This window comes from Homo sapiens, chromosome 9 (assembly GCF_000001405.40).
Source record: "Homo sapiens chromosome 9, GRCh38.p14 Primary Assembly".
Classification (NCBI taxonomy): domain Eukaryota; kingdom Metazoa; phylum Chordata; class Mammalia; order Primates; family Hominidae; genus Homo; species Homo sapiens.
Window position 1 is genome coordinate 76,850,700 of NC_000009.12, and position 22,791 is coordinate 76,873,490.

Sequence of the window (22,791 nt, forward strand, 5' to 3'; positions counted from 1 at the left end):
TAGCAGGAGGAAAGAATACAATTACATTTTCTCCAGCCTGGGGGTAACTGGTAAAAGGAATAGGAGTCTTCTGGCCTCACTAAACCACTTGGCATTCATAATCAAATTTTCCTGAACCCAATTAATAGAGTATTTTCCTCTGAGTGGCCCCTAACATTTTTTAACCTCTTGTTACCCTACTTGAAACATCTCATGCTTTATTTTATGTCTCATTTTAGACCCTGCACCATTTGTATATATAAATATATACTACATATGATTAAAATTTAAATAGATAACATTTGTATATAAATTTAAATATATGCATATATATAAATTGTGCAGGGGCTAAAATGTAAATAAATACATTTATATATAATACACATTCTCTTCTTTAAGAGTAACAAACTCACATATCTTTATAAGATTGGCAGAAAATTAGGACAATTGAGGCAGGGTGGGTGGGGACTGTGGGGACAGGGGAAGGCACATACATTGCATCTAAATGAGATGCCTGTCACTCAGCTCCAGCCAATGGTTCACATGTAAAAATTCAGGCCCAGTGTAGTTAAAACTTTAAATTAACGGGCTGGGTGCGATGGTTCATGCCCGTAATCCCAGCACTTTGGGAGGCCAAGGCGGGCAGATCACGAGGTCAGGAGATCGAGACCATCCTGGCTAACACGGTGAAACCCCATCTCTACTAAAAATACAAAAAAATTAGCCGGGCATGGTGGCAGGTATCTGTAGTCCCAGCTACTTGGGAGGCTGAGGCAGGAGAATGGTGTGAACCCGGGAGGCGGAGCTTGCAGTGAGCCAAGATCGTGCCACTGCACTGCAGCATGGGGGACAGAGCAAGACTCTGTCTCGGAAAAAAAAAAAACACACACACACACTTTTAATTACCCAAGAGCAGCTATAAATCTAGATTTGGGGTATTATTTGTGAAATTTAATTATTACAATTCATTTTTAAAAATTCAGAACGTCAGTCAGTAGAAATTCATTTACAAGCCAGCTTCAGCCTACAGACTATCAGATCGTGATCTCTATTGATTTCTTAAATCATAAAAAACATTTTTTATTAACAAGTCTCTTAGAAAACAGATCTGTGGCAACCAGAGAAAACAGGAGATAGGAGAGAGGTAGAGAATTGTAGTCACAATAATAAACTTGTTTTTGTACGGGAATGTTAAAAATAAAGGTGCTTTAAAAATTACTGTGAATGTACAGCAATAATCCTAACTATCAATGAGAGAATGTGGGGTTCAGTGACATGGAATTTGTGCATAACATAAATGGCCTTTACTCTCACACCATCACCAGCTTGTCACAGTTTTAACACCTTAATCATCTGTCTCCCCTTTCTAGCATTAAGAAGGCAGGGCTTTTTGATGGTTTTGTTCAGTTATGTTTCCAGTGTATAAACCAGTCTGGCACATAGTAAACATTTAGTACATATTTGTTGAATGAAAGAAAGGAATCAGCCACTGCTATAGCATACAAAGCACAAAGCCACTCCAACAAAGTGGGTTTTCTCCCTCCTGTCACGCTAATACCGAACCACAATTGCATAATAAGTGTTAACAACTTATGTATGGCAAGTTATTTTTCCTAATGAATGGAGGGTTCTATCTAACTCCTGATATTGAAACTTGAGTGGGGAAGAATCAATATGTAAATCAGGCATGTGGCCTGGGCCTCTCCTGGCAGGACCTGTTCTGAAGTTGATGTCACAAGAACTAGGTTCCAGCCCCAGTCTCTACCACGTAACTTTGAGAAAGCCAGTTTCCTCTCTGAGACTCTGTGTTCCCCATCTGAAAATGCGGCTCACTTACCAGAGTGAGAAGGATTTAAATGGGGTCACACGCATGAGGCAGAAAAGCTCTTTGCTTATCCTACATGTTCATACTCTGAGAGGGAGTAGTTGGGTTTTGAAAATTTAAATGGAGACACAGACCACTAGCAGGGGGCCCAGTAAACTACGAGAAAGGCAGAGAAATATAACCAAATTCTTAGTATGAGACCTTTCAGTAATTCCACATTCATCTCCATGCTTACTGGCAAACCTTTGAAGAAGAAGAGAATCCACATGTCTTTTTATTTTTATCTAGCCATCTGTCTGTCTGTCTATCTATCTATCTATCTATCTATCTATCTATCTATCTATCCATGTGTTTTATCTATCACAATTACTTTTTCTACCCCTTTTATTGGATGTCAAGACATTGTTGTAGGTGGTAGTGGTGGTATTATTGTTATATCATTTTGAAGTCCACGCCACTATCACTCTAAACATCAGTCTGGTTTTGTCAACTCTATGTTCTCTAGATAAGTGACATTTTCTTCTAGGAGTCAAAATACCAGTTAACAAAATTAGTGTTAATATGCATGTCTTAACAGAGGCACATTTATCTCCTCATACCAATTAATCTCCCTTGTAAAGTTCAACAAATTTTAAGATAAATTTGATATAAAGCCCACATGTAGAGATCAGAATATTTTACCCAGCATTTTTATCAGCTTCTGCCCTAGAGCAGTTCTTGCCACCCACAGCTCATTCTGGAAGACTAGCATTCGTGTGAATTTAAATCACTTTAGACCAGCTCTGCCTACTGTCAGGGGCCAAGGATCCAAACAAAATTGCAACAAAACAAATCAGATTCTGAAAAATTAAAAATTGTGTGACATTGAAAATAACACCTAGACACTCATAACATACATTTTTAGGCTTTACGTTAATAAAAAGCCCATTATCATGAGCTCATGAATTTTATAGATTTCAAGTTTTAAAGCAATTTGTTGAAAGGTATTTTCCACTTCCACAGGGGCATCATATGCTTCACAGAATAGAAAGAGTCTTCCTCAAGGGAGATGATCACTAACTAAGGATGATCTCGCTGTACAAAATCAGGGATACAAGGCAAAACCAAACAAGGACCTACAGGATGTAGATTTGACATGTAATACTCGTCACTGAAAACTCTAGCCAATGTGCTCTGCCATTTATGTACTGTTCACACAAGTTATTCTGCACGTATTTTTCTGCTCCCAAGGGCAGGACTATCAGCAAGGATGACAAAGGAAAACAAGAAATCTGATTCTTACTTTTATTAGTTCTATGAATTTCCATAAAATTAATCAACTATTATGAACACTTTAAATGTTTTATTTGAAAACATTGACCTTATTGAAATAATGTTTTATAAGGAGAGTTGGTAAGAAATAGCTAGAACAATGCCTAACATATAGTAGGTGCCCAATAAATATTTGTTGATTCATGGATGATAATACTTTATACTCTGCAACAATATATCAGAACATTAAAAATTAAGTTAATAGGTTCCTTTGTTTAGAGAAAATGTTTATTCTTAAAAGTTACATAATAATTCAAAATATAAGGAGTATTACCCTTTTTTCCCTCACCTTGTCTAGAAAGTAAGCATATGTGAAGGTAGAAATGAGAGAATCCAAGTCACACGATTTAGGCCCAATAACCACATGGACCTTCTCCAAGCGTTTGCTTCGATTCTGAAACAAATTCAAAGGAAACATCACAATTTAACAGGTGACAGATTAATATAAACATATTTTTAATATTTTAAAAAAGTATGCCTTATCCATATTGATACACAATGGCAGAGAATCATAAATTTATCATGAAGTTTTACATGAGAACATAAAAATTGTACAAAGTGTTTAACACTCTGAAATATTCACTCAAACTCTAGTAAACTTTCTGGAAGAGAAAATGTGGTTTTATTAAGATTACACATAATTTAACTTCATATGAACTGTATCTCTGAGTCGTAATTTTTTTAGTAAGTATCATTTTGTTCTAAGGGGCATAGTATTCTATATCATTTCTTTATATAAGATGTTCTTAATTTAAGAAACAAACAAAATGACTTTTTTCATATGTGTCTGGCATGCAACATAAGCAAACAGACACAGAGTTTGGTAAGGATTTATTTTTTTATGTCACATTTTGGGTAACAAGATAGGTTCTCTCTGTATTCTATTCTATAATTTAGTAAATGAAACTTGTAACACTTTTGTCTGTCAGAAAATAAAAATTAATTGTTCTTAAAAGGTGTATATAGTCAGCCGGGCGTGGTGGCTCACGCCTGTAATCCCAGCACTTTAGGAGGCTGAGGCAGGTGGATCATGAGGTCAGGAGATCGAGATCATCTTGGCCAATATGGTGAAACCCCATGTCTACTAAAAAATAAAAAAAAATTAGCCAGGTGTGGTGGCACGTGCCTGTAGTTCCAGCTATTCAGGAGGCTGAGGTAGAGGAATCACTTAAACCCAGGAGGCGGAGGTTGCAGTGAGCCGAGATTGCACCACTGCACTCCAGCCTGGCCACAGAGCAAGACTCCATCTCAAAAAAAAAAAAAAAAAAATATATATATATATATATATAGTCACCCCTCTGGAAGAGAAGACTTGCTATTTCATTTTCTGGTTAACTAAATAGTTATTTGAAAATTCCTTTGTGGAAGGCTGACATTCTTTTGCAACTTCCAAAGAACCAACTGCTTCTAGTAAATGTCATAGCAAAACTATCCAATACAGATAATTGTCATATAAATTAACAACTTTACGGTATGTCAGAGATGACATATGTACATACTTTCCCCACTTTTCATCACTTGTTTTAACTTCTCATTTTAGAACTACCTAGAAAGCCAACTTAGTTGTAATACTGTTCCAAAGGCTATATAAAAGGTTAGATTGCTCATGACTATTTTAATTAAAAAAAAAAGTGTTTATATGCAGAACAAAGATGAAGTATTATTTAGTTATCTACTACATATTTTACAAATGAATCTAAAAATTTGTCAGTGTTTATATGGAACTGCTGGTATCAGAGTCAAACGCAATAGGTTGTGGCTCAATAAATATAACAAACCAAATCTTGGAGGGGGCTAGGTTAGTCTATCATTATAGACAATGAAAGCAGTATCAATTTTGCAGATATAATCCAATATGTAACATTGCTAAATTAAAATAAATTTTTTTTCAAAATTGAGATATTGATCCTTGGCAAAACAGCATGATTTAAAAGTATGATATAAACTCTCTGAAGATAATTACAATCCCCTCCCTTGTCACTACCAAATCTAGCTTCCATTTCTTCCTCTCCCAGTTTCCTTCCCCTACACTCATAAATTTATAGTTGGCTCACTTGGCTAAATGTGCTTTAAGGGTTCTAGTCTAGGTCCAGTTCTCACTCTCAATGTCAGACTGCTTCCCCTGTGCAACACAGTCAAATATTCTAGAAGCTCCTAAAGAAAGGTAGGTAAATGGAATTACAGTCTATTACAACACAAACAAACACATTAGGAAATCATATTACTGCAGAATGCTATTCTTCCGAGAAGCTCAAAGATCTAAGTAGACATTACCTCATTTCTCTTCCCAAATCTTATAAGGCAGACAGTAAGAAGATTAGCAGCACTTTTTATAGGTCAGAGGAGTCTGTGATGGACCAGGGTGGTTCCCAGAATCCCACAGCACAGTGCAGTGAGCCCCATCTCCTCTGCCCTGTATTAATGCCATAATGACTTCTCAACACTATGAGGATCTCAGCGTCCACACAAGTGAGCACGGAATTCAGGGAGAAGAGAGAATGAAATACAGCAAGACTTCAGACATTTGTGAGATCAAAATTACCCCCAAAGCTGACCTATTTGCTTCTTGTCTAGGCTTGATCATTCCCTGACATAGCTTTGTGTTCCACCCTCAACTTACAGGAAAGAAGACATGGGGAGTGTAGCAAGATTTGTGTGCCGATTCATTACCAAGCCCAAAACCAATTATACTTAAGGAAGAAAAGGTGCTAAATGAAGACTGCAACCCCAAAGCATGCTACACGAACTCTCACAACTCAGGAACCCTGTAAGATAATTATAAGGTTAATTTACATGGATTGAATGTAAATGAATTAATCTTTCCTTGCTGACATATCTCTTTCCATTTAAAGAGAAAAAGGTATAACGGGTAAGGACCATAGCATACCCCACTGCAAAATTTTGAGGGTTCTCCTTGGTGTCATATGCCTCTCTTTTCTTTTTCTTTTTTTTTTTCCAAGATGGAGTCTCGCTCTGTCACCCAGGCTGGAGTGTAATGGCGTGATCTTGGCTCACTGCAACCTCCGCCTCCCAGGTTCAAGCGATTCTCCTTCCTCAGCCTTCTGAGTAGCTGGGATTACAGGTGCCCGCTACCACATCCAGCTAATTTTTGTATTTTTAGTAGAGACGGAGTTTCACCATGTTGGCCAGGCTGGTCTCAAACTCCTGACCTCAGGTAATCCACCCGCCTTTGCCTCCCAAAGTACTGGGATTACAGGCGTGAGCCACCGCGCCTGGCCAACATGTCTCTTTTTTCATGGTCTCTCATTTCTCTCCTCACTTTCCTTCATCCTATGCATCAAGTTCCTTCATGGTCATGGCCTCTTCCAATGCCATTTACCCATATTTGCCATCCCCAGCGCATATACAGTTTCCAGGCTTCAGCACTCTCTTTCCCCCTCCACCCCCATCCATCAAAATGTACCATCTTGGTGCCCAGGCTCTCAAGGACCCACTGCTCCTCCACCAGCAACTCCAATGAAGAATATATGCCAATGAGTACTCCTGAGTTAACGTGTCACCAATGTAATATGCTCTCATTGTAAAGAGACCCTCCAGAAATCATGCCATAATCCAAAAAGATGACTGGAAAAAAAAAAGATGACCCAGCTTAGAATGGTGGACCAGACAGAAAGGGACAGCCCAACCAGAAGGTACCTTTTGTGCCACCAGTAAGCCCTGAAAGAGATAGGCTTGGCCTCAGAATATCTCAGATGTTCCTAAGTGCCCAATTCCTACCAGTAACCACTGATAAGATAGAATTGCAGGGCAGCAAAGGGTAACCATGCTCAAACTCCTGCCTGCTTGGAGGAATAAAACATAAAATTAGTCATGTAGACTCACCCTGTACGTGAGCTCAATCTCTTCAAATTGGAATTAAGAACCAGAGAATACAGGGCCCACTCTTGAGCTTCCCCCCACAAATGACCTTGGTTGTGCAAACAGAGCAAACACAGGGGTCAAGCCAAGGCAGAAAATTCTGAGGACTGATTTCAGGTGTCTGGGGCAGGTAATGGGAGGTCCCCACGGTTCTGGTGCACCCTGAGGGAATGGGCCCATCTATAGGGGCTGCAACTAGTTCACGGAACCCAAAAGAGACTCCTGACCCCAAAGATCGTCTGCACTGCTCACTGAAGGTCTGTAGGCCCCTTCCTATCTCACATATCCACATATTCAGAGACTCTCAGGTGCCCAATCTTAATACTGATGTCCCTTGATACAGTTCAAATTGTGCTATGGATGATTCACAAACAGACAAATCATGCCCAAATAAAAGGGACAATAATAATGATAAATGTACAGTTTCATCAATTTGATTTACTATTGTCACCCCAACAATAAAAATCTGCTTGTGCCAGGCACTGTTCTAGGCTCTAAGGATATAGCAATAAACCAAATGGACAAAAATCCCATCCCTCACTGCACTTGCAATTTAGTGCATGGTGAACTGATGAACCAAATAATCAGATAATTTAAATGGAGAAGATGAAATCATAAAACGGGGATGGGATATGCTGAGGTGAGGTTCATTAGAAAGTGGCATTTGATGCCCATCAATGATCAACTGGGTAAAGAAAATGTGGCACATATACACCATGGAATACTATGCAGCCATAAAAAAGGATGAGTTCATGTTCTTTGCAGGGACATGGATGAAGCTGGAAACCATCATTCTCAGCAAACTAATACAGGAACAGAAAACCAGACACTGCATGTTCTCACTCATAAGTGGGAGTTGAGCAATGAGAACACATAGACACAGGGAGGGCAACATCACACACTGGGGCCTGTCAAGGGGTCGAAAGCAAGGGAAGGGATAGCATTAGGAGAAATACCTAATGTAGATGACAGGTTGATGGATGCAGCAAACCACCATGGCACGTGTATACCTATGTAACAAACCTGCATGTTCTGCACATGTATCCCAGAACTTAAGGTATAATTAAAAAAAAAAAAAAGAAAGAAAAAAAAAGAAAGTGGCATTTGAGTAAAGGTCTGTAGGTTAGGTAAGTGGGACTAAAGGGTGTCTCAGGCTAAGGAAAGAACAGGTACCAAGGCCCTGAGGTGAGAGCAGGCCCAGCATGTTCAGCAAATAATTATTGCCTAATGTATACATTTTCCAAATGTGACTCTGTAAACTCCTAGGTTGGAGGGACCCAGTCTGCTGAGTAAATATCCATTCCCTAATATCAACCTACACAAGCACACCAAGCATCAAGGAATCTCAAAAGACAGGCAACCCTTTGCGAATGCCTAAACCCAGTGCTCCCCAAACCCAATACAAAATGGAATATGATAATGGATTGAAAGAGATACTACACTGCTTTGTCATCTAGATACACTTCCAAAATAGATGGACAGAATCTTTTCATAATCAATGTAAAAAAGAAAGTATATTGACTATGCCAGGATTCCAAATCACTTTAATATGCTTTCAAAGTGTAATCCTATATACCGCTAAAATGAGACTTCTTAACTTCTTATCTCTTTTTAAAAGCCTACAAAATGCCTACATATTCAGATTCAATGGCCCATTAAATGAAGCTGCACTTGTTAGGCAAAAGCACTTTCAAGCCACCCAGAAGAATTGACCAGAAAGAGGGCTTCCTGGGCCCTCCTATAAGCCTAGGCCCCTCCATTTGCTCTTTCCTTCCTCCACAGGCTTAGAAGCAAGGTTGCTGCTGCCATAAACCTTTTAATAAAATGTCCCAATCCTATGGATTCTTCTTGCCCACTGCCCAGAAAAACCAATGCACCGAGAATAGCAAATATATCAGCCATGAAAGAGTTTAATCATCACAGGGCCAGCCAAGTGGGAGGTCAGGAGGTAGTTCTCAAATCTGCTTCCCCAAGAATTCAGAGGCTAGGGTGCTTGTTTGTTTGTTTGTTTGTTTGTTTGTTTGTTTGTTTTGAGACAGAGTTTCACTCTTGTTGCCTAGGCTGGAGTGCAATGGCATGATTTCGGCTCACTGCAACCTCCCGGGTTCAAGCAATTCTCCTGCCTCAGTTTCCCAAGTAGCTGGGATTACAAGTGCCCGCCACCATGCCCAGCTAATTTTTCTTTTTAGTAGAGATGGGGTTTCACCATGTTGGCCAGGCTGGTCTCAAACTCCTTACCTCAGGCAATCCACCTGCCTAGGCCTCCCAAAGTACTGGGATTACAAGCATGAGCCACCACGCCCGGCCTGAAGCCAGGGTTTTTCAGGGTACTTTAGTGGGCAGGGGCTGGAAAGCTGAAACAATTGATTGGCTGGGGATGAACTCACAGGGGTGTCTAAACTGTCTTTGCATAGCTGAGTCAGTTTCCGGGAGGGAGTCTCAGGACCAGGGGGTGTTTCTCAGCCTGCCAAAATGCCAAATCTGAAACATATCTCAAAGACCAGTTACTTAGGTTTTACAATAGTGATGTTATCTGTAGGAGTAGTTGGGGAAGTTATCGATCTTGTGACTCCCTTAATTGCTGAGGCAGTAAGCAATTAATACGAAAACAACAGCAGTATGTCTATTCCTTAGCAAAGTTCAAGCCCTTCCCGTAACTCTAACCTTGTGAATTTTTGTTAGTATTTACAAGTACAGTTTCCATTTTTTAACAAGGAGGGGATTAGTTCAAGGAAATGACTTACTGCCTTAAAACAAGTATGAGCAAAAGCAGTTCAGCCTGGTAGAAGCAAGATGGAGTCAGTTGGCAGATTTCCGTTACTGTTATCATTTCTGCAACGGTGGTTTCACAAGGAGCCCTTGCAATACAGTTATAAGATGACTTTTCAATACTCATGCTCAAATATCCCCAAATCTTTTTTCTGAAAATTTTTGGAACACTTTTTTCAAAAATAATTAATTGAAACGAATTTTGTTTTAAAAATATTTCAGACAAAACCCACAGAAGTTGGAGATTCACTTTCCACACACACTAAAGTGGGGGCACATTTCTTGGTCCCTCATTTCTAACCAAAAAAATGAAGAAACAAGAGAGAAATAAACCTCCTGAAACTGTAGGATGGTGTCTCCAAAGAAAACCAGAAAGAAGGTGGCCTTTGAACCAGTGAGTCCCTTGACTACTTACTAGCTCCAAGTCAACCAGGGTGTCTTCCTCCCAGAAGACTGGCTGCAGGGTGATGCGGAAAGGGCCCAGCCCCTCCCCAGGAGACCCCAAACACCTGTGGCTGCCACGATTCTAAGTAAGAAGACTTCCAAGGATGGGAAGGAGGAGACCTAACGTGCTGCTCACAACCCTACAGGTCCCTAACTCAAACCCAGTCACAGCCTCCAAGGAAGCCAGGTGGGAGGGGCAGCAGATGGTACCATGGCCAAGTGAGCAGCAGGGGCCACAGGGAGGCCTGGAGATGTCCAGAGGCGAGGCAAACACCCCCTCTGCAGCTCTGCTGTGCAGGGATAAAGTCACATTCTTTGCTGGTTTGGTAAATAAACGAGATGCCTCTTGATACTGGCCCTGGGTTTGAGATGATTTTGAGAACTCCTGACCTCCTCCTGAATTTCTCTTTGTTCTTTGTTTCCAACACCATTCTCTCCCTCCGGGTCTCAAATGTTCTCCAGGTAATGATGTAATTATGAGAAATTTAAAATCTGTTATTCGAGAAAGAGAGGAGACAGGCATCAGTGTGAACAAATTCAGCTATAAACTGTTCAGGCCGTGTGCATTTGGGCCTTCTTCTGTGTTCTCATATGTAAGAGGCCATTGTGGGTAGGCGATGGGGGAGGCAAAACCTAAACCCAAAGCCTCAGTTCCCCCCGGTCAGGCTTCTTGAAGCCTGGAGCACTGGACATCAACTAATCCACTTTTTTAACTTCTCAGCTTAATCCATTCTTCCTTAGCCTGTTTGCTGCCCATCTTGAAAACAAAGTTTTCTCAAATCGAGTGACCTCAAATATCATTTATATACTTCTGGATATAGTTTATATCTTCTGGATCATAAAAACGATGTGGCCAAGAAGTATTATTTTATTTACAGCATTTTTTTTTTTTTTTTGTATTTTTGTTCAGGATCCTCGCTCTGACGATGGCTTCAAAGGACAGTTTTGGAAGCAGCACCATTATTTTTCTTCCATCACAAAAAGTTAGGGATGAGCCCCGCAAATCTTTAACTTCCCTGAAGGGCTCCTAAGGGAATTGTCCTGCATAGCCTCCTGAGATGTTTTCATTTTCCAGTCATCCCACTGTTGTGGGGAGATGCATGCTTTTATTACCCACTGGTTCCTTCTAGCTGAAACAGGTGCCCTATTCTAGGAGTTTGACCTCCATGGTTTCACAGATCTTTATAATCTCTTCACCTTTCCTTTTTCAGCCTCAAGAACTGCAGTCTTGGCCAGGCACGGTGGCTCACGCCTGTAATCCCGGCACTTTGGGAGGCCGAGGCAGGCAGATCACCTGAGGTCAGGAGTTCGAGACCAGCCTGACCAACATGGTGAAACCCCATCTCTACTAAAAATACAAAATTAGCCAGGCATGGTTGGCACATGCCTGTAATCCCAGCTACTTGGGAGGCTGAGACAGGAGAATCGCTTGAACCCAGGAGGCAGAAAAAAGAAAAAAGAGAGAGCTGCAGTCTTTTTCATTTAGCCTCCTATGAACATATGTCTAGGTCACAAATCCTTTCCTTGTATCCTCTGACCTTGTGGCGTCCTGTGTCCTTTTACTGTGCTCAGGCCTCCAGGTTGGAGTCATGCAAAACCATCTAAGAAACAACTGAGCCTTAGGAAAAGCTAGAAGAGCTTCTTCTACTAAATGATAAACATCAAAGGCAGTCCAAGAGTTTTAAAGCCCAAATGAGAAAGAATGCCCCCGCTACACACACATAGCACCCTACACTCACGTCACCTAAGGTTTATATCTTAATGACTTCATAAAATATGTTCATTATAAAACATTTGTAGAAACTCACAAAAAAAAACCTAATTCCCAGTTAATTACTATATTAAATGTATTCCTTCTCATCTTCTCTCTGTACTTCTATGAGTGTTCTCTTTTGCAATAGTGTGACCCTATTACACATAATATTTTTTAACTTCTCTTTTCAAAATTAACAGCCCTCTAAGCATTCTTTTCAACTTCTAAAATTAAATCTTGTTGTGGCCATAGATGACTTCTGTTTGCTTTTGTAACTCCAGCTGCCAGCCTACTGCTTTGCACACAGTAAGTGTTCAATAACTATTGAAAAAGTGAATGTATGAATGAGTGAATGATGATAACATTTAACAGATATAGTATTTCTTAATACGGATCTTCATACTTTAGTCAATCCTCTATTGTTAGAGATTAAATTTATAATTATTTATTTTTTGTGGTATAAATAAAACTGCAGTGAATACTTCAGAAGATAATTTTTGTATCTATCCCTAGTTATCTCTTCAGGATAAATTCCTGGATCTTAAATTTCTGGGTCAAAGAATATATTTTAATGTTCACCAGAAAGTTATAGAAATTTACCTTCCCATCCATAAAAATACCTAGTTTTCAAACCTTGTGTATTTGAACATTATCATGTTGATCGGTAATGTTGTATAATGCATGTTTATTATGATTATGAGTGCTTTAGATCACTTTTATATATGGACACAAAAACATTACTGTCTTCATATAAACATATTATTTGTGAATTTTTCTCTGTGTATCTTTCAGGATGTTTATCCTATTCTCATTGATGATTAAACTGCTAAAATATTGTTAACATATTCAACTCTGGTAACATCAATAAAAAACTATTTTGTTTTCTGGCCTTGGGCATTATGGAACAACTTGTTCAATAAAGTTGCATTAAGTATGCAATAAGCATGCATTATTTAATATGACATTATCATTTGAGTACTAAACAACAGCAGCACACTCTGTACAATATTTTCCCCAATCTACCTACTTTGCTTCCTGAAAATGTTGCAACAATACACTTCAGACTGAGCTAAGAGCAGCCTAGGTTCCCTAGCTCTTGACTGGACTGCATTTGCTCCTCTGCTTTGCCTCATGTCAAAATGATAATGCAACTTAAAATTAAATCTAAACTGTCACTGTTGGTGGGAATGTAAATTAGTTCAGCCACTGCGGAAAGCAGCTTGGAGATTTCTCAAAGAACTTTAAACAGAACTACCATTCAACCAACAATCCCATTACTAGATATACACCCAAAAGAAAAGAAATCATTCTACCACAAAGACACATGCACTTATATGTTAATCACAGCGCTATTCCCAACAGCAAAGGCATGGAATCAATCTAGGTGCCCATCAAACGTGGATTGGATAAAGAAAATATGGTACAAACACACCATGGAATGCTACACAGACATAAAACAGAACAAAATCAAGTCCTTTGCAGCAAAATGTATGGAGCTGGATGGAGGACATTATCCTAAGCAAATTAACACAGGAACAGAAAACCAAGTACTGTGTGTTCTCACTTATAAGTGGGAGCTAAACATTGACTCTACATGGATGTAAATGTGGGAACAACAGACACTGGGGCCTACCAGAGGGGGTAGCAGGAAGGAGGGTGTAGGCTGAAAAACTACCTATTGGGTACTATGCTCACTACCTGGGTGACAGGACCATCTGTATCCTAAACCTCAGCAGCACCTAATACACCCATGTAACAAACCTGCATATGTATTCCCTGGATCCTAAAGAAATACATAAATAAATAAATATAAATAAATAAACAAATAAATAAAAATCTAAGGTGTCAAACAGTTCATTATCAAATGTCTTTAAAAGTAAGAACATTTTGGTAGGACAATAGCACCAAAAAGAATGATAAAAGGCAAATAACAGAGGGGATGATAATATTTGCATAATAGTTGTACCATTTTGCCATTAAAAGGGCAATATTTCTGACACACAAAGGGTTCCTATATATTGATTTTTAAAAAGACAAACAACCCAATGGAATCATCAGCAGTGGATGTGATCGGGGCAATTAAGAGAATAAGAAATGAATATATGAAAAGATATTCAGTCTCATTAGTAGTCATGGAAATGCAAATTAGACCAACAATAAAATGTCTTCTTTATTTTGGCTCATCAGATGGATAGAAATATTATGACTGATTGTCATGAGCAGCCAGGTCTGGGAACAATTGCCTTAAAGAGGACCCACGATAAGCTCTCAAGGACCATGTGGTCCCTGTCAACTGCAGAATATATCTGCAATTGTTTTTTGAGAAGCACTGCTTGAGTTGCTCTAGATCAAGCACAGTTTCAGAGAATTGCTGTTATGTTATTTAGATTTGCTGAAGTTCAGTGTTAGCAGAGGCCTCAGGATTCACCCAGTTGAAACCCTTCAGTGATTTCCAAAATGAGGTAGTGCACCTCAGTGTTAGAGAAGAAACAATGCAAATGCCTATTTATGTCATCCTTTTACATTTTCTGTTTTTTAAAATATGTTTTACAGCCAGAAATGGTGGCTCATGCCAGTAATCCCAACACTGTGAAAGGCTGAGGCAGGAGGACTGCTTGAGGTCAGGAGTTCGAGACCAGCCTGGGCAACATAGTGAGACCCTGCCGCTACAAAAGTAAAAATAAATAATAAAAAATGTATTACAATGTTCCTTATATTCTAGTACAGTAATACACAGTAGAATTCAGAAATAAATGTATGCATTAAGATAAAGTATTCAAAAGACTATTACTAATCTCACTGTACAATGAACAAGGGTTGGAGACTGGTTTTTACAGCTCAGCCAACTGAGATCCTCAGGCCTTTGTGTCCCCAAGACTTCCTAAGGCAGCGTGCTGCACACAGGAGATGCTCCAATCAATTTTTGTCAGTGAAAATGATAATATCGGATATAATAGTTGGGCAGAAGATAATTTTTAACTTTCTTGTAATGTCTTTGTCATGTTCTTATGAAATAACAGTATCATGGGATAAAACCTTGTTAATAGCACAAAAGTCAAAAGTTATACTATAGGCTGCAAATAATCATTCCTGTCTCAACCTTAACAGGCTCTCATTTCTCTCCCTTCTTTCTCCCTCTCTCTCCCTACACACACACACACACACACACACACACACACACACACACACCAGAGCATTATGACATGTGCATTATGCCCACTTCATGATCTAAAGTTCCAAAACTGAATTAAAATGATTTTATAAAGTAATGGATTTTATGAGTATTAAGTCATCACATATTTTCCTCTTTTCTCTCAAGACAAGATTCTTGACTTCTGAGTTGCTACCACATTCTAATTCATCTATTATTCTGAAGATATAGCAGTTGCAATAATTTCATTTTTAAATATCTCAAGCAGTGTGTACAGGTACACTATTGAACTCTACCAAAACATGACTTGCTATTAGTACATGCACATCCAGCAGGCCCAATCCTGGGGCCTAACATAGATACAGAAACCACCAAATTAGAAGGGCATAATTCTAATTAGCTACCAGGTGTTTCTTAGCTCTGTCCCCAACACTTGCATGATCAATGCATGTCTAGCATAAAGTCACTCTGAAATTCAAGTTTAAATGATTTCAAGACAAAAACTATATCCATTATATTAATAATCAGAGGTACAAGGGTTTTGCCCTTAGGCACTGATTTTACATACAGTGATTTCTAACAAATTCCAAAACTTCATATAGTGTTTTTTGCGATATTTTGTAGTTATTATAGTGTCTCATTCGGTTGACAAAATGTGGGAAATATTTTGTAAAGTTCAAATAACTTCCTACTGCCTATTCATAAGTAGAATGACAACAAGACATACGCCTGCCTTCCCCAAGGGTTGTTAAGTATTCAACTTTAGCCCTTTTTGCAAAACGCTGGCAATTTTTGAAGCTGGGAGATGGGCACGTGGAGTTCTCTTTGGCCTCTCTGCTGACGTATGTTTGAAAACTTAAGTACAAAAAAGGAAGGAAGGAAGGAAGAAAGAAAGGAAAGGAAGGAGGAAGGGAGGAGAGGAAGGAAGGAAGTGGGTAAGAAAGGAGGAAGGGAAAGAAAAGAGAGCGAGAGAAAGAGCGAGAGAGAATGGAAGGAAGAGGAAGAGAGGGAGGGAAGTAGGGAGGAAGTTAAGAGGGAGAGAGGGAGCGGATGGTCAGAAGGGAGGGAGGAGGGAGGGAATGCCCTTTCCGCCCGGTGCTGTGAACAGCCCAGGCCCCTGTGTGCACATTCTTGACAACGGGTCATGTCTTCGGTTTCAATCTGTGGAGGTGAATCAGCACTCAGACTTGTGCCTGGTATTAGTCAACCAAATATTTGCTGAAAGAGTGAATCAAAGCAATAAATAAGAAGCCCAAATTCTGAGTTCCTGGGCAGCTATAGCCTAGGCTGAGATTAGAGTAGCAAAAACAAGGGAATGGGTTGTCTGCCATCCCACGCACCTTTCTCCTCCCCCACCAACTGCTCTGTCCTCTCCCACAACACCATCAACCCCCCGCCCCCGCCCCCGCCAGCAGGTGTTTCATGCTGTTCATGGCTTTCTTTTTTATCTTTTATCTTATGCGGAGAGGGTAGGGGAGAACAACAGTGTGTTTATGACACCATGGGTACCCAACAAAGAAAAAACGAACCGCATCAGACCACGCAAAACGATCACACACCACGCTGACATGATTCAAACACCATCTCCTGTGATATAACTGAACAAGGAAATTGTTCTCAGTGGAGCTAGAATTTAAGGCTACATCAGCAATACTTCCAAGAGCTGTCAGGTTGATTCAGTATCAGAAAAAATGACTGGAGGAAAAGTAAGGACTGAGAGCCCTCACCTTGCTTTGCTTTTTGCAGTTTTGCTCTTTTGTTGTTGTTGTTGTTGTTGAGACGGAGTCTCACTCTGTCCCTAAGGCTGGAGCGCGGTGGCACAATCTCGGCTCACTGCAACCTCCACCTCCTGGGTTCAAGTGATTCTCCTGCCTCAGCCTTCTGAGTAGCTGGGATTACAGGCGCGTGCCACCATGCCCGGCCAATTTTTTTGTGTATTTTTAGTAGAGACAGGGTTTCACCATGTTGGTCAGGTTGGTCTCGAACTCCTGACCTTGTGATCCGCCCACCTCGGCCTTCCAAAGTGCTGGGATTACAGGTGTGAGCCACTGCGCCCGGCCGGTTTTGCTTTTTTCTCTTAATCTTGACAGCCTAATGTTATTCCTAGGCTCTTGTGTACATGTATCTAAATATTTATCCTGGCTACAAATTAAGACAAAAACAATAAGATGTGGAGAAATAGCCCCAAATTCTGGTTCCAATCTTAATTCACTAGAGCACTCAGGGGTGCTTCCTGCTTTTCATGTCATTCCTTTTTCCCGTAGACAGGAAAAAGAAACCCACTCTATATGCGAGGTGGGTGTAGACGAGATTTCTTTATTAACTGTTTCCTGACAATACATCAAGAAAAAACCTCATATGACTCAGTACATACATGACAGGCAGTAAATGGTGGCATAGGACATTTATAGTAACTTATATCAAAAATGGAGAAAAACATCCAAAATAACAAAGCTATGATACCATTCGAAACTCTTCCACCTGTCTTTTTCCACTCTTCCAAACACGTTTCCAAGCCCTCCACTTAGAATACAGAACCTTCTGAAAAACAAACTGTTCATCTTTGCACAGACATGTGCCATGAGGCTGCCTTGCAGGTGTCCACACATACACTCAGGCCTGAGCTGGTTTACTGTGCCCACCATCCCTAGCAATCCCCTGGACAAGGTGCATACGGGAGGACCACGGAAGTTAGTTAACAGCCATTAGGGAATTCTGTAGGATAGAACCCTCCCCTCTCCCCTAATATTTACACAATCACATGTACATGATCATTCACAGCAGTGTCTCTAAGACAAAGGACTTCTGCCCAGGGCAACAGCCAACTCACCTAGCGTCAATATGCAATAGCAATCAGAAAAAATTGTTACGACTTCTCAAATTTGCCCTGAAGACTAGTATCTTAATAATTAAGCAGCCCTAATTTTTGGTAGGAATTTCCCTTCTATTCTAGATTAAAGTATTTTCATTTTATTGAAAAAAATTGTGATTCATAAATAATTTTACTTTAACAGATCCTTGGGGGGTGGGGGGGGGGGCGGGGGGGAAGGAAAGGCTTCTGCCGCTGTACACTAAGTTCCCAGAACTTTCTTTTGTGAGCCTGTGTTAAGATCACGTCCTCTTACCGCGTCGCCCCTTCTGTAGCCTGCTGCTGTGCGGCACAGCTTGCCCCAGATACTTTAATTATTTCTGCTCCTTCGGATTAGAAGGGCTGGAGCTAATTAGTCAGGTCTTCTCCCCCTATGAACAAGCCAAGACGCGCTCGAAGACTTTTCCCAGAAGCTTTGCTTTTCTGCAGTCAGCTTTTTGTTGTCATAAGGAAGATCTATTGCTTTAATACTCACGAGTGTAAATGTCTGCATTTGGAATGGACGTCAGGCCAGTGACACCACACACCTGGCATGTCTGAAACCCACTCAGACATGGCAGTAATGAATAGATAAGCGACTGGAAGTGGGAGGGAGGAGAAGATTGTTTCCAGTACGGTGCAGGTATGCAGGTTCACAGGGAAATGTGCGAGGGATCTGCAGAGCAATTACTGTACTTTGCAAAGACGACAGTTTTTAATGATGCCATTATTTATTACACTGTGTGTTTTTCAGTGACAGAAGAACTCTCACCTTCCAGGTGACCTCTCAGGATCGTTCTCTCTTTCTCTCTCTCTCTCTTTCAAAATATTTTGCAAAATAGAAAACCCTTTTAAAACTAAACAGTATCTGGTGCACAGTAGATATTCAAAAAATGTTTATTAAAATACACATTTTATAGCAGAGAACAGTGCAATAGAAAGTAAATGCAGATGCAGCAAGATATAGAAATGCACGCATATATAAATTCCATATTATTTCACTGATATTTTAAAAGCATAAACATGTTGATATAAACTGAGTATCATGCTCTATTAAGAACAAGCTCTCCCAAAGGAAAGTTTAAAGTATTCTAAGCATCAGAGGCTTCCCACCTTGGGAAAATACGGTTTTATGATTCTAAGTAGTAAATAACCTATTTTTCAGCTGCTCAAACATTTTCCTTTTGTCTTCTCTCTTCTATGAGGAGAACTGACTTGGGTCTCCAGAGCCCCTCAATTGGAAAATTTTTTGATATTATCAATTTGAATTTTATTTTTGTAATTTTAAGGGAGATCATTAACTAAATAGATTATGGAAGGGACCTTTAATACAGAAATGTTTTCTATCTTGATGTTCTAAATAAGTCAGCCACATTAAAAAGAATGCTGTTATAGTAGAAGAATATTTTGTTGCTTTACTTTTTTATTGGACTTTGAATAAAAAAATACATATCCAGAGATTAACACATGAAAAAGATTTTTAAATATTATGAAAACCTTAACAATACATAATAAAAATGCATCGGATCACCCAAATCTTTTGCCATAATAAATAGCTGTAAAATAGGTCCTATTAAATATAAATTCTTGTCAAAAGAAGAGAGCAAGACTCCCTAACTTTTTTTTTTTTTGCAACAAGGAGTAACTTTTTAATACACTCATAATTTAATTCGCTGATAATTTAGTTCCCTCTTTAGAGCCTCAGAGTGGAAAGGAGAGAGAACATGCTAAAAAAAAAATCCTCCGGCCGGGTGCGGTGGCTCCCGCCTGTAATCCCAGCACTTTGGGAGGCCGAGGTGGGTGGATCACAAGGTCAGGAGATCGAGACCATCCTGGCTAACACGGTGAAACCCCGTCTCTACTAAAAATACAAAAAAATTAGCTGGGCGTGGTAGCGGGTGCCTGTGGTCCCACCTACTCGGGAGGCTGAGGCAGGAGAATGGCGTGAACCCGGGAGGCGGAGCTTGCAGTGAGCCAATATTGCGCCACTGCACTCCAGCCTGGGTGACAGAGCGAGATTCTGTCTCAAAAAAAAAAAAAAAAAATCCTCAATGGGTTGGTTTCCAGATGTGGTGGTAGGGGATGTTGACAGTAAGATGTGGAGTGAGGGCAAGAGAAGACAGGCAGGTTTGACATCATCATATCCCCATAACTGAAGCAAATCCCCATAACTGAAGACAGAAACCTAAGTGGCAACAACCAGTTAATAACAATACGGCAGCAAAGAGTACCTCACCATTGCACAACTCCAGGGAGTGCCATTCACATAAAATCCAAAGTGAATGGTGCCTACAAAGCAACTGCTGGGCAGCTACTATGGATCATGTTGTTTTTCTGAGCCTGACATCATTTCACAAAATTCTCAGAACCCTGTGTGGGAATCCTACGTTATCCCTATGTGACAGATAAATTTGGTCCATATAGACTGTAACTGTCCTAGAATGAGGATCACCAAAGCCTGTGCATTTAAGGACCACCTCCCTCTCTGCCAGTCATCCATATCCCTGGGTTCACATTCATGGATTCAACCAACCAGGCATAAAAGACACTCAAAGAAAAACAAAAAAATGGATGGTTGTATCTGTACTGAACATATGCGGACTTTTTTCTTGTCATTATTCCTTCAACAATTTACATAGCATTTACATTGTATTAGGCATTATCAGTAATCTAGAGATGATTTAATGTATACAGGAGGAAGCATGTCGGTTATATGCAAATACTATTTCATTTTATATCAAGGACTTGAGCATCCACAGATTTTGGTATCCAGGGAGGGTCCTGGAACCAGTTCCCTGTGGAAACCAAGAGATAACTGAACTATGTTGGCTAACAGCTGTGTCTAGTGCTTTGGTAATCCTGGGCCTCCAAGGCCCTGCTCAGCCCTTCCTCACTCTATCTGCTAGCCATTTTATATGTGTTTTTAAACTTACAGTGGTCAATCTTGATTATCTTGGGGCAAATATAAATTACTATGACAATTTTTTTAAGACAGAGTCTCACTCTGTTACCTAGGCTGGAGTGCAGGGGCACAACGTCAGCCTACTGCAACCTCCACCTCCTGGTTTCAAGTGATTCTCCTGCCTCAGCCTCCTGAGTAGCTGGGACTACAGGTACATGCCACCCCGCCTGGCCAATTTTTGTATTTTTAGTAGAGATGGGGTTTCACCATGTTGCCCAGACTGGTCTCAAACTCCTGGCCTCAAGCAATCTGCCTGCCTCAGGCTCCCAAAGTGCTGGGATTACAGGTGTGAGCTACCACGTCCAGCCTAGTTACGACAATTTTCTTAAAATTACGCTGTAGATAGTGACATTGTAAAAAATGAAAATAGTCAACATTTATACAGGTGACCACAAACACCTGCATACATAGAAGGCTTCTATTGTTTGGCCCCACCTAGAAACAACAGATACCATGCCAAACCCACAAGAGTCCTTGGCACCTGGAAGGGTAGGCCCTGGAACCCTGTGCCCTCATGGCCAGCAACCTCCACTGAGGGTGCAGCATCTGCAAGCCCCACCTTCCAAGCATCGTCACAGGCACATTCAAACCCTCCCCACCGCATCCCCTCCCTGAGCTCCTCCTCAGCTCTTTGCCCCTCAATGGGCTTCTAGAAACGTCTCTTCTAAGAAGTGGAGGAAGAGAGACAGAGCAACGATGCACAAAAGCCAGTCTTTTTTCACCTCTGCTGCACCCTGCTACAAATACAGTACAATTACTTACGCATTACAAGTCATGGAAGAACAATGTGGGGGCGCAGTGGACAGGAGCCATTAATTGCCCTAAGTGTTGGGAAGGCTTCACAGAGGAGGTGACTTTTGCCTTTCTTCAAGGGAAGAAAGATAAGAGTTTCCCAGGCTGAAAAGTAGCAGGAGCCTCTACTCTTCTTTTCATGATTCTCATTAAGTTAAAAAAACAATTTTACATGATGATTATGGAAAACACACACACACACACACACACACACACACACACACACACACACCCTCACACCTCAAAACTCCCTATTGGTCAGAGATATATACTGAAAAACTTACAGGTAAAATGACATGATGTCTGTGGTTTGTTTTAAAATATCCCAGGAAACAAAAGTGTGTATGTGTGTTAAGGAACGGATGAAACAAGATTAGCAAAACATTGATAATTATTGAAGGTAAGTGTTATGGATTATGTCCTTCCCCAAATACATATGTTGGTGTCCTATCCCCCAGTGCCTCAGAATATAACCTTATTTGGACCTGGGGTCATGCAGATGTAATTAGTTAAGCTGAAATGCTGTCATTAGATGGACCCTTATCTAACATGACTGTGACATTATGAAAAGGGGAAATTTAAACACAGAGACGTGAACAGAGGGAAGGTGATGTGAAGACACAGGGAGAAGCCCATCCACAAACCAAGGATCATCTGAGACCACCAAGAGCTGGGAGAGAGGCCTGGAACAGATCCCTCCTCAGTACCTTCCGAGGAAGCCTGGCCCTGACAACATCTTGATCTTGAACTTCCAGCCTCCAGAGCTGTGAGACAGTAAATTTCTGTTGTTTAAGCCACTCCATTTTTGGTGGTTTGTTATATCAGCCCTAGAAAACTAGTACACTAAGTCATAGGTCCACTGAGGATTAATTACGCAATTTTTTCCACTTTTGTATATGTTTTAGATTTTCCATAATAAAAGTTTTTTTAAAAGAAGCCTTGTATATAGTCTCAGAAATATTAATAATTCAGCTACACTCTGCCACTGTACTTCCCGAGGAAACCACCCAAAAGTGCCAAAGTAACTCTAATATCCAAAAATACAGCTGGTCCCCTCTTCAATCTTTGTGTCTAATTT

At 40.3% G+C, this 22,791-nt stretch overlaps 1 protein-coding gene across 34 annotated transcripts in view; it reads right to left on the reverse strand.

Annotated features, from left to right (window-relative positions):
* PRUNE2 (prune homolog 2 with BCH domain) overlaps positions 1 to 22,791 on the reverse strand; it is a 294,739-nt gene that overhangs the window by 239,324 nt on the left and 32,624 nt on the right. For all 34 annotated transcript variants that reach the window (NR_131751.2, XM_047422884.1, XM_017014349.2 and 31 more), the window contains one exon: positions 3,405 to 3,509. Coding sequence is in view for 32 of the 34 variants with exons in the window: in XM_047422884.1 (XP_047278840.1) it covers positions 3,405 to 3,509 (105 nt within the window). In the remaining 2 variants the exon portion in view is untranslated. The remainder of the gene's footprint in view (positions 1 to 3,404; positions 3,510 to 22,791) is intronic.